At 36.4% G+C, this 15,301-nt stretch overlaps 1 protein-coding gene across 10 annotated transcripts in view, besides 1 other annotated feature; it reads left to right on the top strand.

Annotated features, from left to right (window-relative positions):
* Positions 1–15,301, top strand: part of EXOC6B (exocyst complex component 6B) — a 650,050-nt gene that overhangs the window by 575,589 nt on the left and 59,160 nt on the right. The window lies entirely within an intron of this gene.
* Positions 13,684–14,185: an enhancer, noted in NCBI's record as "H3K27ac hESC enhancer chr2:72463389-72463890 (GRCh37/hg19 assembly coordinates)". NCBI's record gives its function as "activates a minimal SCP1, AML or CMV promoter by ChIP-STARR-seq in naive H9 embryonic stem cells {active_cell/tissue: H9 hESC(naive)}" and the evidence as "EXISTENCE:reporter gene assay evidence [ECO:0000049][PMID:30033119]".

The following is a 15,301-nucleotide window of genomic DNA, read 5'->3' as shown; positions in this document are numbered from 1 at the left end:
CTTGAGCTCATGAGGCAGAAGTTGCAATGAGCCAAGATCATGCCAATGCACTCCAGCCTGAGTGACAGAGCAAGACCCTGTCTCAAAAAATTAAATTAAATTATAATTTAAAAAATATGTTCCTGTCTAGACAGTACTGTCAGGATCAGAAAGGTACTGATTAATTTGGTCTGATGTAATAGAGGCTCCAACCAAGCAATACATTATGACTTTGATCGGTACCGTGCTTATACAAGAATTTGGAGACTGTTTTCATCCCCCAAATTATAAAAATGATTGAAACTTGATCATAGATTCCTCTACTATGTCATTTAAGCTTTGTGTTACATTCTGCATGAAAGATTTTCTTGAAATAACTCAAAGGTAAAGCATTCATTTATTCAGTCGCTAGGAAGTGTATTACCATGTGCCAGACAATAAGGTTTCTACAGTAAATGAGATAAGCCAAGTCACTACATTCAGGAAGCTTACATTCTAATGAGTAAATCAGGATTGAGTTACCCCTTATGTTTAACCTAAACAACTTGATAAAGCTATTATATTAAGTTGAACTACCAATATGTATGAAGCTACCAATATTCAATAAAAACAGCAATTTCATGCAGTTCAACCAGCTATTAATTAGGTAAATGTCTACCAACCATTCCAAAGAAGAAGATAATTTTTTTCCTGTACCATTGACATAGCTTTCTTGTCATAAAACAGGAATGATCATAAGAAGCAAATAAATTATTGGGTAGTGATAGTGAAAATAAACAACCCATATGACTTTTGTAGATACTGATGTTAGAAGTACCCACTTGGAAGACATTTTACAATTTTTTTTACAAAGTTAAAAATCCTGTATACTTTTTTGTCTACCATCTCACATATAAGAATTCATGCAAAAAAATTTCTTTCCTAGAATTCAGTGCCAAGAAACTGTTTACCTCCTTTTTTTTTTTCTTTTCTTTTTAAAAAAGAGACAAGGTCTCATCCTGGCTAACACGGTGAAACCCCGTCTCTACTAAAAATACAAGAAAATTAGCCGGGTGTAGTGGCGGGCGCCTATAGTCCCAGCTACTCGGGAGGATGAGGCAGGAGAATGACGTGAACCCGGGAGGCTTGCAGTTAGCCGAGATTGCACCACTGCACTCCAGCCTGGGCGACTGAGTGAGACTCCGTCTCAAAAAATAAAAGGGACAAGGTCTCATTCTGTTGCCCAGGCTGGAGTATAAGTGGTATGATCCTAGCTCACTACAGCCTCCAACTCCTGGGCTTAAGTAATCCTCCCACCTCAGCTTCCTGAGTAGCTGGGACTGCAGGCATATTACACCATGCCTGGCTAATTTTAAAATTTGTTTTGGAGGCACACGCTCTCACTATGTTGCCCAGGCTGGTCTCAAACTCCTCTGCTCAATCACTCCTCCCACCTTGGCCTCCCAAAAGCCTGAGATTATAGACTTGAGCTACCACACCCAGCCTTGTTTGCCTCTTCAGATGAATTCTGTTGAAACTAGAAATTTGATGTATTTTCTCTTTTTATTTGACAACCAGGAAGCCAGTAACACTACATTTAATGTTCTTTGACAGTGATCAATTCACCCAGATTTCTGGTTCATCTGTTTTTCTTTCCTATTTTTCTAATCTATTCTTTTTCTGTTTTGTCTTATATTGTATATATTTTAATGTTGCAGGCCACTGTGTGTCTTTTTTTGGTAGTAGGCAGTATGAATAATAATTTAGCTAGATGTTAATGTAAAACTCTTTTTCATTTATTCTACAAATACTTACCGAGCATTTACTCTGCTAGACACAAGAGATTAAGCAATGAACAAGACAGGCAGGATCCATACAAGGTGTAATTATAGGTGAAGATGAACTTTTGATGTTCCCAAATAAATGGTCAGAGTTTGATGTCTTGGTGGAAAACTTTGTGGATATTCAGGAAGCTGAATCAATTTCAGATACCACTCTTTAAGTGAACCTATGCTGTTTATGGCTCATGGTAAAATAGTGAAAATTGGGATAAATTTAAGCTAAAGTGTCTCTCCCTGTGAAGAGTTTACAGTTTTACGAATCCAGATAAAACCATTATATTTGAAGTGTCTCTACTAAGTGCTATTTATGATAAAATGATTATTTATCACACCTAGATCCCTTCTTCAAAGAGCTTCAATTTAGTTGATAAATATGAACACAAAATGAAGATTAAAGGAATAAGGATAGTGTAGGTACTTATACCTGTCATGGGACATGGAATTTTAATAATGAAAAAATGATAACACTTTTTAAAGTTATTATTCATGTCATCATCATTTTTGTATTGTCTAAGTAGTTCAGATTCTGGCAGAGGAAGTCAGGTAATGTGGAAATTGTTTCTAAGAGGTTAGAGAACAAACCAATATCCCAGAGCATAACCTTGACAGAATCACTCTCTGAGATTTGGTTGTATATTATTATAGAATCTTTGGTGAAAGCCTCCTCAGGGACAGCTAGTCTATCTCCCATTTTCCAGGCATCTTTTACCTACACCATAAAAAATAGATGACTCTCCAAGATTCTTAAGAAAGAGATCCAAGTTCAAATTCAGAACATCTTAATATGCCTTCCAAACTTCCCCATAAGATGAATCAAAACAAAGCATTAAAGGACCAAAAGTATTCACTTTGAAAAATCTACCCACTGCCCTCACAGAAAGAATGTCATCTGTGGACCAATCATCATATTCTAAAAAATTTGCAAATTTCCCATTTTTGCTTTCCAAGGCAGCTGTAGAAAAGGAGCTGGGAGTTTACGTGAGTAGTTGCAGTTACAAACTTCAGCCAGCCGAAAAGTTTCTTAATTTCATAGCAAATCTAAAAGGGAGGACTTTTGACATCTGGGCGGACCTGGAAAGGCCAGGGACACACCATCAGTTCATCACAGTATATTATCCTTGAGAAACTTTGGAAGAGCTACAGGGAGATTAGAAACTTTTTTAAAAGCACTAAGCAAACAACTACATCTGTGTGATAATGACAGCAACCCCAGTGTCCTTTTTCTCTTGGGCAGTAGCCTCTGCTGAATTCATTCCCCTACTACTTTAGGTATCCTAGTGCTGTACCTTCAACAATTTTCAGATCCTCACAGTAGGAGTTATAATTCTGTATCTTGGATACATGGTGGTATCAGCAGTACAACTCCCAGGGTCTGCCCATGTCTTGCCTTTCCACTTCTTCATTTCTGCGATGGGAATAAAATAGATCAAATAATCCACAGAACAGCATCTCTGTTCACTAAATAAATTAAAAACATTTATCAGAAAGATTATTTTCATATTCTTAATGATAAAAGATATTTGCCTTATAGCACAAAGTCCTATCTTCTGCATTTCTAGGTAGCAGATTTTGTTACCCTCTTCTAGAAAAGTGTGTTTGGTACAATGTGGACCATTTTCCTCTATAGGCAAAGAACTGTAAAGTTGCTAAATATGGATCACACCATGGGAAACTATATTGTGGAAACTCAGAAACCTCAAAAAACAAGTTCTTAGAAGGCCATCTCTTTCACCTCCCTGCCTTTATAGATTTAAAATGGAAAATGATCTCAGAGAAATATTCTCCAGCCTCTTACCCAGTATTCCAGATCAGTTTAGCTCTGTCTCCATAGATAGGATAACAACTGCTTCCTAAATTAACATATTCCAGGCTGGGTGCAGTTGCTCATGCCTGTAAACCCAGTGCTTTGGGAGGCTGAGGCAGGAGGATTACTTGAGTCCAGGAGTTCAAGACCAGCCTGAGAAACACAGTGAGACCCTGCATGGTGGTGGGCGCCTGTAGTCCTAGTTACTCGGGAGGATGAGGCAGGAGAATGGCATGAACCTCGGAGGCGGAGCTTGCAGTGAGCTGAGATTGCGCCACTGCACTCCAGGCTGGGCAACAGCGCAAGACCCAGTCTCAAAAAAAAAAAAAAAAAATCAATTAGTTAACCTATTCCAGAGAGTATTGGCATTCCGGACTTACATCAGTAAGTCAGTCATCTAATTCTGAGCACCTACTGTGTACCAGGTACTACACATATAACAATGAAAACTATAGGTCCTCCCCTCATGGAGTTACCATTCTAGGGAATAAAACAGGCAGTCTAATATGACAGTAAGTTGGATTCTATGAAAGGGGAAATATAAAGTGTTAGGGAAGCATAATTTATAGGGACCTAGCTTTATCTGTAAGAGTTGGGGACACCTTTTGTTAGGAAGTGACATCCAAACTGAAATTTGAAGATGAGTGACACAAGGCTGGACATGGTGGTTCATGCCTGTAATCTCAACACTTTGGGAGACTGGGGTGGGAGGATTGCTTGAGATTAAGAGTTCAAGACAAGCCTAGACAACATAGTGAGACCCTGTCCCTATGTAAAAAAGTAAAATAAGTAAATTAATTTGTTTAAAAGAGTGGCAAAGACTGGTACATTTGAGGAACTAAAAGAATCACATTTTATCCAAAAAACAATTAGCCATCAATGGAATTTAAGCAAGGCACTGATCTAATGATTTTTGTTTTTTAAATCATTCTAACTACAGAAAGAATCAGTGTAAGAGACCAATCTGGAGATTTTTTGCAGTAGTTCAGATGTTTTTTTAAAAGGTGACTTTTTAAAATTGATGAGTGAATATTAATACATTATCTTTAAGTTCCATAATTTACATAATGGTCTGTTCTTTGTATTGTACATTCTGTGGGTTTTGGCAAATATATAACATGTATCCACCATTATATATCATTACAGAATAGTTTCACTGCCCTGCGCTCTGCCTCTTCTTCTCTCCCTCACTTTCCCTGAACCCCTGGCAACTACTGTCTTCATAGTTTTGTCCTTTCAGGAATGTCATATATTTGGAATCATACAACATATAGCCTTTTCAGATTGGCATTTTTCACTTACCAATATGCTTTCAAGGTTGCTCCATGTCTTTTTTGGCTAGATAGCTCATTTCTTTTTAACGTTGAATAATGTCCCATTGTATGGATGTATCAGTTTGTCTGTCCATACATGTGGGGTGATGTCCAGTTGTTCCAGGAACTTTTGCTGAAAAGACTCTTATTAAATTGCCTTTCCTTGTTTGTCTATATACAGTTCAGTTTACTATATTTGCATGGATTTATTTGTAGACCTTTTATTCTGTCCCATTGATCTCTTTGTCTGTTCTTTTCCCAATACCCACCATTTTGATTGCTGCAGATTTATGGTAAGTTTTAGAAACAGGTAGTGTCAATCTTCTGACATTCTTCTCCTTCAGTAATATGTTGGCTATAATGGGTCTTTTGCCTTTCTATATAAACTTTAGGTAATCAGTTTGTTGATATTCACAAAATAACTTGCTGGGATTTTATTGGGATTGTATTGAAACTATAGATCAAGTTGGAAAGAGCTAATATCTTGACAATGTTGAGTCTTCCTATCCATGAACATGGAATAACTCTTCATTTACTTAGATCTTTGATTTCTTTCATCATATTTTTGTAGTTTTCCTCATATAAATCTGTACGTTTTGTTAATTTATACCTAAGTATTTCATTTTTTAGAGTGACAAATGTAAATGATATTATGTTTTTAATTTCAAATTCCAGTTCTTCATTTCTGGTATATAAGATAGCTATTGACCTTTATATATTCATCTTGTATCCTGCACCCTCGCTATAGTTGCTACTAGTTCCTGTAATATTCCTTTATTCTTAGTTTAATGTTAATGGTGTATCAGTCATGATAGCCCCTTTTTCATTTCTGATATTGGTAATTTGTGTCTTCAATCTTTTCTTCTTAGATAGCCTGGCTAGAAGTTTATCATTTCTATTGAAATTTTTAAAGAACCAGGTTTTTGTCAATTTTCATCAGTTTTATGTTTCAGTTTTATTGGTTTCTGCCCTAATTTTTATTGCTTTTTTTTCTTCTGATTACTTTGGATTTAATATGCTCTTCTTTCTTCTAGTTTTCTTTTGTGGCAGCTTAGATTATTGATTTTAGATCTTCCTTCTTTGGTAATTTATGGATTCAATGTTATAAATTTCCTTTTGAAAATTACGTTTGCTGCATCCACAAATTTTAATGAGTTGTATTTTCATTTTTATTTAGTTAAACATATTATTTAATTCCCCTTGACATGACTATTTTGACTCATGCTTTATCCAGAAATGTACTGTTTAATCTCCAGGTATTTTGGCATTTCTCAGCCATCTTTCTTTTTTACATTTCTCATTTAGCTCCATTATGGCATTATTAGAGCACACTTTGTATCATTTCTACTTGTTTAAATCTGTTAAGGTATATCTTATGGCCCAGAACGTGGTCAGTCTTAGTGAATATTCTGTATGACTTTGAGAAGAATGTATATTCTGCTTTTGTTGAAGTTTTATATGAATGCCAATTTGGTCTATTTGATTGATGGTGCTATTCAGTTCAGCTGTTTTCTTACTGATTTTCTGCCTGCTGGATCTGACAATTACTGATAATGGTCTGTTGAAGCCTCTAACTATAATAGTGAACTAACATATTTCTCCTTGCAATTCTATCAGTTGTTGCCAAATGTACTTTTTACATTCTGTTCTTAGGTGGATACATGCTAAAGACTGTTATGTCCCTTTGGAGAATTAACCTCTTTATCATTATGTAATGTTCCTCTTTATCCCTGATAATTTTCTTTTGTTTTTTCGTTTTTGTTCTTGTTTTTATTTATTTTTTAAAATTATACTTTAAGTTCTAGGATACATGTGCACAATGTGCAGGTTTGTTACATAGGCATACATGTGCCATGTTGGTGTGCTGCACCCATTAATTTGTCATTCACATTAGGTATTTTTCCTAATGCTATCCCTCCCTGTGCCCCCCACCCCACAGCAGGCCCCAGGGAGTGATGTTCCCCACCCTGTGTCCAGGTGTTCTCATTGTTCCATTCCCACCTATGAGTGAGAACATGGGGTGTTTGGTTTTCTGTCCTTGCGATAGTTTGCTCAGAATGATGGTTTCCAGCTTCATCCATGTCCCTGCAATGGACATGAACTCATCCTTTTTTATGGCTGCATAGTATTCCATGGTGTATATGTGCCACATTTTCTTAATCCAGTCTATCATTGATGGATATTTGGGTTGGTTCCAAGTCTTTGCTATTGTGTATAGTGCCATAATAAACATACGTGTGCATGTGTCTTTATAGTAGCATGATTTATAATCCTTTGGGTATATACCCAGTAATGAAATCTCTGGGTCAAATGATATTTCTAGTTCTAGATCCTTGATGAAGTGCCACACTGATTGTAAGTTTCCTGAGGCCTCCCCATTCATGCTGAACTCTGAGTCAATTAAACCTTTTCTTTATAAATTACCCAGTCTCGGGTATGTCCTTATAGCAGCATGAGAACAGACTGATACAACCTGTGTATTTGTATTTTCAATGGATTTCTTGGCCAGGCACAGTGGCTCATGCCTGTAATCCCAACACTAGGAAAAGGAGGATCTCTTAAGCCCAAGAGTTTAAGACAAGCCTGGGCAACACAGTGAGACCCCATCTCTACAAAAAAAATTTAAATATTAGCAAGGCGTGGTAGCACATACCTATAGTCCTAGCTACTCAGGAAGCTGAGGTGGGAAGATCACTTGAGCCCAGGAGTTCAAGGCTTCAGTGAGCTATGATTGCACTACTGTACTCCAGCCTGGGTGACAGAGTGAGACCTTGCCTATAAATAAATAGTTTCTTATATATAACATATAATTGGGTCTTATTATTTTATTCACTCTGAAAATCTCTGTCTTTTAATTGGCATTTAGACCGTTTTGTGTTTGAAGTGACTATTGATATTGTTGGATTAATATCTACCATATCTGTTACTGTTTTCTCTTGGTTGCCTTGTTCTTGGTTCCTTTTTTTGTCTTTCATTCTTTTCCTGCCCTCTGTGATTTTAATTGAACATTTCAATAATTCTTTTTTCTTTTCTCTTAGCATATCATATGGTTTCCCTAGAGTTTGCAATATACATTTACAGATAATCCAGGTTTACTTTCAAATAACACTATGCTGCATCATGTGTGAGTGCAAATACATTATAACAGAGTTTTTCCAATTCTTCCCTCTTGTCCCTTATAATATTACTTCGTTTATTTCACTTATTCATAACTATAGTTGCTGAATACATTGGTTATTTTTGTTCTAAAGAAAGTATTGTCTGTTAGACCAATTAAGAATAAGAAAATTAAGATTTTCTGTGATCTTTATGCCTTATTTAGGGCTTTTTCTTTTCTTTGACAGAGTCTTGTTTTGTCACCCAGGCTGGAGTGCAGTGGCACGATGATAGCTCACTGCAGCCTCGACCTCCTGGGCTCAAGTGGTCTTCCAGTAGCTGGGACTACAGCTGTGTGCCACTACGCCTGGGTAATTTTCATTTTATTTTTTTGTAGAGACGAGGTCTTGGTATGTTGCCCAGGCTGGTCACTTCTGGGCTCAAGCAATCCTCCCACCTCAGCCTCCCAAAGTGCTGGGATTACAGGTGTGAGCCACCACACCTGGCCAGGCTCTTTCTTTAGATCCACTTTTCTGACCAATATTATTTTCTTTCTTTTCTGAAGAACTTCTTTTAAAATTTCTTGCGAGCAGGTCTACCAGCACAAATTTCCTCAATATTTGTTTGTTTGAGGAAGTCTTTATTTCACTTTCACTTTTGAAGGATAATCTCTGTAGGTCTAGAATTCTTTATTGGTGGATTTTTTTCTTTCAACATTTTAAATATTTCTATCTTCTTGCTTCCATGGTTTCTGAGAAAAGTCAGATGTAATTCTTATTCTTGCTTCTATATAGGTAAGATTCTCCCCTGACGCTCCCCCTCCCCAACTTCTTTTAAGATTTTTTTCTTTGCCTTTGATTTTCTGTAGTTTGAATATGATTATCTCTAAGTGTAGGATTTTTTGGTATTTATCTTGCTTCATGTTCTCCAAGATTCCTGGATCTGTGGTTTGATATCTCTAGGAAAATTCTGTTACTTCAAGTACTTCTTCTGTTCCTTTCTTTCTTCTCATTTTGATATTCTCATTACAAATATATTGCACCTTTTGCAATTGTCCCATGATTCTTAGAAATCTTTTCTGCCTTTTTCATACTTTTTCTCTTTGCATTTCAGTTTTGAAGTTTCCATTGACATTTGTTCAAGCTCAGATTCTTTCCTTAGCCATATACAGTCTATTGAGGACCCCATCAAAGGCATTCTACATTTCTGTTACAGTGTGTTTTTTATTTCCAGCATTTCCTTTAGATTCTTTCTTTGAGTTTCCATTTTTCTTCTTACGTTACCCATGTGGTCTTGCATGTTGTCCATTTTTCCACTAGAACCCTTAGCATATTAATCACAGTTGTTTTATATTCAGTTTTTATCTTTCAATCTTGTCCACAATAAGCCTCTAGCTGATTGCAAATTATAGCTTCAGTTTTTCTGCCCTAGTACTGGCTCCAGTGGTTATTTCTGCTTCTTTGTTTCTGCTCCAGTAAAATGTATTCTCTATATCCACCGGCCTGTTTGTCCAATTTTTGAGGCAGTGATTTGCCCTGTGACTCTAATCTCTGATGTGTCTAATATGACTTCCTGATTTTTATTCACTTTTTCTTTGTTGTAAGAACTGTAGTGACAAATTCTAAGCCTCTTATATGCTAGAATAGAAACTAGTTGTCATTATTTCTCTTTTTAACTTATGCTACATGGTTTAAATGTGTTTCTTTTGTTTTTTTCTTTATAGTAGCATATAACACTCCTATTAAGAGGTCTGGTAAGTGCCTTATCTTATCCAGCAGATGATTGTAGGCCAGGGGTCTGACCAGTCACTATCATTGTCCATCTCAAATGAACCCCCATGGACAACCTCATCCTTTTAATTTTTCGCTAACATCCGGGCTCAAGAGAACTTCAGAGTAAAAGTCATTTGGAATATATATAGGTCATTCCTATGTATACTCCCTTGTTTCCTCAACAGTCAGTTAAAGCACTATACATTTTAGTGTTGCTTTATTATTTTTTTTTCCGTAAGTATTAAATTAGAATGGTTTTCTGTTTTGGGCTTTGATACTCAAGAATAGGAGTTCAAGTGCATTTTTCTGTTTGGATATATTGTATTGTTATTTGTTTTTTCCTCTTGAAGAAAGCATTAAACCTTTCGAAAACTGCTTAAAAAGCAAAGGCCTTCCCCTGTGACCTGGAACAAGACAGGGATATCTACTTTTACCATTTCTATTCAACACTGTACTGGAGGTACTAGGTAGGACAATTAGGCAAGAAAAGGAAATAGAAGGCATTCAGATTGGAAAGGCAGAAGTAACACTATCTTTATTTGTAGATGACATGATGTTATACTTAGAAAATACTGAGTAATCCACTAAAAATCTATTAGAACTGACAAATGAATCCAGCAAGTTTGCAGGATACAACCATGTACTTGTACCTTGGTATATTATACAGAAATTACATAAATTAATTATATTTCTGTACAGTAGCAATGAACAAATTAAAAATGAAATGAAGAAAACTTCACTTATAAAATAAAAAATAATAAAATATTAATACATAGTAATAAATTTAACATGAAGTACAAGGTTTACTTTAAAAACTGTAAAACATCGTTGAAAGAAATTGAAGAGCACCAAAATATATGGAAATATATCTCATGCTCATGGATTGGTAGACTAAATATTGTTAAAATGCTCAAAATTGATTTATAGATTCAACACAATTCCTATTGAAATCCCCATTAACTTATTTGCAGAAATTGATAAGCTGATCTTAATATGGAAACAAAGAACAGTCAAAACAATCTTGAGAAAGAACAAAGTTGGAAGATTCACACTTCTTGATTTCAAAATTTAGTACAAAGCTACAATAATCAAGATTGTGTTATACTGGCACTAAGGATAGACATGTAGCTTAATGGAATAGAGTTGAAGTTGAGGAAAAACCTCTTGCATTTATGGCCAATTAACTTTTGACAAGTATGCAAAGACAATTCAGTGAGGGAAAGAATAGTCTTTTCCACAAATGGTACTGTGACAACTGGATATCCACAGGTAAAGGAATGAAGTTGAATCCTTTAATTATACCACACAAAAATTAACTCAAAGTGTATCAAAGACCTAAATGTAAGCTAAAACTATAATCCTGAGAAAGAAACATTGAAGTAAATCTTCTGACCTTGAGTTAGGCAACACCGTATAAACACACACTCGAAAAAAGAAAAAGTAGCTTTGACTTAATCAAAATTAAAAACACGCCACGCACAGTGGCTCACGCTCATAATCCCAGCACTTTGAGAGGCCAAGGTGGGAAGGTTGCTTGAGCCCAGGAGTTTGAGACTAGCCTGGGCAACATGGTGAAACCTCGACTCTACAAAAAATTAGCCGGGTGCAGTGGTGCACACCTGTAGTCCCAGCTGCCCAGGAGGCTGAGGTGGGAGGATCCCCTGAGCCTGGGAGGTTGAGGCTGCAGTGAGCTGTGATTGCTCCACTGCACTCCAGCCGGGGCAACAGAGTGAGACTCTGTCTAAAAAACAAGCAAACAAAAAAACTAAAAACATTTGAGCTGCTAACAATACCATCAAGAAAGTGGAAAGACAAACCACAGAATGGGAGAAAATATTGGCAAATCATATATCTGATAAGGAACTTATATCTAGAATACATAAATAATTTCACAACTCAATAATAAAAAGATAGCATAATTTTAAAATGCAAAAGATTTAAATGGACATTTCTCCAAAGAAAATATACAAATGGCCAACAATTACATGAACAAAATGCTTAGCATCATTAGTCAGTAGGGAAATTAAAATAAAAACCAAGAGAGATACCATCACACACACACTAGGATAGCTAGAATAAAAAAGACAAGTAACAACAAGCATTGGTGGGGATGTGGAGAAATTGACACTTTCATACATTGCTGGGGAAATGCAAAATTGTACAGCCACTTTAGAAAACAGTCTGGCAGTTCCTCAAAAAGTTAAACAGGGAGTTAACCATATAACCCAGCAATTCCATTCCTATGTATATACTCAAGATGAAAACATTTGTCCATACCAAAACTTATACATGGATGTTCATAGCAGCATTATTTATAATAGCCAACAAATGAAAATAATCCAAATGGCCATGAACTGATTAATGGAAAAACAAAATATTCATACAATGAAATATTATTTAGCAATAAAAAGGAATGAAGTAATGATGTGTGCCACAACATGAATGAGCCTTGAAAATCATACATTAAGTGAAGGAAGCAAGCACAAAAGGCCACATATTATATGATTCCATCTACATGAATGTTCAGAATAGGCAAATCTATAGAGACAGAAGTAGAGTAGTAATTGCCAGAAGCTGGGGGATGGGAATGAAGAGTGACTGAAAATGGGTACAGGGTTTCTTTCTGGAGTGATGAAAATGTTCTAAAGTGACTATGGTGCTGGTTGCACAATCCTGTAATTATCCTAAAGACAATTGAGATGTATACTTTAAATGGGGGAATTATATGGTATGTGAATTATATTTTAACTAAGCTGTTAAAAAAAAAAAGCAAATGCTTCCCTAAGTCCAAAAGTGAGAGAAACTTTTGTTTCCTTCTTTCTTTCCAGTCTTGGCTCTCTCTTGCCTCTTCTCCATCCACACTTCAAGTCAGCAGCCTCCAAGGATCACTCAGTTTATAGCCTCTGCTGCCATAATGTCAGACTCTGTAGAAATATATTATACAAAGCAGAAATCAAAGAGTCATAGCATGTGAAGTCCGACACGAACTGGCAATTACACAGAGATTCAGAGGTCAGGCAGGGGGTGAGGGTAAGGATAGGGTTGACTCTGTAACACATTTAAATTCACTTTGCCATCTAGCAAAGTGTAGCATGCTTTAGATTTTTAGCCAGAGGCTTTACTTCATTTATAGTCAGTTTTCTTTGTGTTTTGTTCATAATCCATATGTTGGTTTCTTTGCATATTTTTTTTCTTAGATATATTTGCTGAATCTCTGTTTCCTTGAAATATTTGCCCTCTTCTATTAAACATGTTTGATTTGAAATTTGCATACTTATTTTCAACCTCTTGATTATATTCTCTAAGAGAAAATATATCTGGCCAATGATAAAAATCAATGAGCAAAACTAAATGTGGCATCCCAGTGACCAGATACCTGTCACACAGCACACATGCCTTGCTAGCTTGGACAAATTGACATCTAAGTGATACATTGAACTTCAGGAGTTTAATGTTTTGTATTCCCACAGCCTCATATAACGCCTGTTACTTCCTATGTGCTCCATAAATATTTTTGAGTGAATGAATCAATGAATGAGCTACCTAAGGGCCTCTACCTGGCACTGGCACTTCCACATTCTTCTGTTTTCCATGGACCACTATGCCTTTTTTTTTCCCCAAGTCTTTCTAACTTGAGGTCTCAGGAAATATTAACTATGTGTAGATTTTATAGCAATGTCATCTTTCTATCTAGCAAGTAGAAAATCATTCCAGAAGAGAAAAACAGGACTACTACTCTGCTGTGTTTAAATATGGGACTCGTAATCTGTTGTTGATAGTTATCAGAGGTAGTACAGACTTTGCCAAAGAGCAGTGGAGTCACCTGAGACAGCGCAGGAGAAACTAAGACTGCCCATGGTCCCCTGAATTTTGATAGCCCTCTTTGCTTGTCCCACTATTAATCTATTTATACTAAATCTGGCAAGATGACAATTAAATCAAAAGTTGCCAGGAAAATAACCATGTCTTTCAAGACTCTTCTGCTGAGTCACAAAAATTTCAGCCACTTTGCCTGTGAATTGCATTGCTAATTGATTGAATCATCATGGGCCAAACATGCCAAAACAATTCAGAGACAAGGACAGTGCCAGCATGAAGTTTCCAAGAAATGCTGCAGAAACTAAAATTACTTGAATTTATTGGTAGCTGTCTTGCTGGGAAGTGTATTGAAAATTACATTGTACCTAAAAACCAAATATTTGGCGATTTTGGAAATCTAAATTAAAGATAGTAATGACAAGCCAGTGCCAGGATGTGATTTTTCTATTTCTCTTTGCCCTCAGAATAACATATCCAATAGGTCATTTTCTAAGCTCGGAGAAAACCAGGATTCAGAATATTTCAAACCATTTAATCTCGTCTTGTGTATTAGTGGCCCAATATTACTGCCCTATTCTCCAGCTGCCATGTGCCTGCAAGCATAAATCAATACTGACTATGCTGGTAAGCAACCACTGTTACTGAAGGGATTATGCACTTTGATTTGCCAAGAGGCTGCCTGCTCTAGTAAGGAGAGGAACCTTCTCAGTTCATTTTGGTTCAGCTCAAGAATCCAAGGGAAGTAAATTAACTCTTCTAGACATCACTTTTTGTTTCTGTAAAATGTGAGTAGGAATCCTTTCTTCTCAGAAATAGTCAGAATGATTAATATAGCATTTGTCCTTTAAGCTCTATCATCAACTGACATCTGTTAAGCACTTCTATATGGCTATTTTAGCCTTGAAAGGTTTATAGTGCCCTTGAAGGGGGGGCAAAATATACCTATAAAAAGATAAGCCACAGTGCAAAGTGGCGTATTATAAATACCAAAAAAGCAGTACAAATAGTGGGAAGAAAAGGTGATGGCAGAGGCTGCATTGGTATGGAAAGGCTACCGAGACACCAAGGACCTTAACCGTGCAGCAAAGGGGCAGACAAGGGTGGCACCACATGAAACAGGCAGCATATTCAAAGGGCTGTGGCTGAGAAAGGGGTCTAGAATAAAGGAAGTTATAAATGGGAAAGTCCCATACACCTATTCTTATGTTTCACTCAGTTTCTAGACAGCATCATCTAGAAGCTAGATTTATCAATTCTGCCTAAATTTCTTTTTTTCTAACTTTTATTTTAGGTTCAGGGATACATGTGCAGAGTTGTTATATAGGTAAATTGCATGTCACAGAGGTTTGGTGTGTAGATTATCTTGTCATCCAGATAATAAACAAAGTACCCAATAGGTAGTTTTTCGATCCTCTCCCTCTTTCCAGCCTCCACCTTCAAGTAGGCCCTGGTGTCTGTTCTGCCCTTCTTTGTGTCCGTGTGTACTTGATATTTAGCTCCTAAGTGAGCTAAATAAGTGAAAACATGCAGTATTTGGTTTGCTGTTCCTGTATTAGTTCACTTAGTATTATGGCTTCTAGCTCCATCCATGTTTCTGAAAAGGACATGATCTCATTCTTTTTTATGGCTACATAGTATTCCATGGTGTATATGTACCACATTTTCTTTATCCAGTCTACTGTTGATGGGCATTTAGGT

The sequence above is a fragment of the Homo sapiens genome, chromosome 2 (genome assembly GCF_000001405.40).
Source record: "Homo sapiens chromosome 2, GRCh38.p14 Primary Assembly".
Classification (NCBI taxonomy): domain Eukaryota; kingdom Metazoa; phylum Chordata; class Mammalia; order Primates; family Hominidae; genus Homo; species Homo sapiens.
The sequence above is the reverse complement of the archived record's forward strand: the minus strand, read 5'-3'. Positions and strand labels throughout refer to the sequence as shown.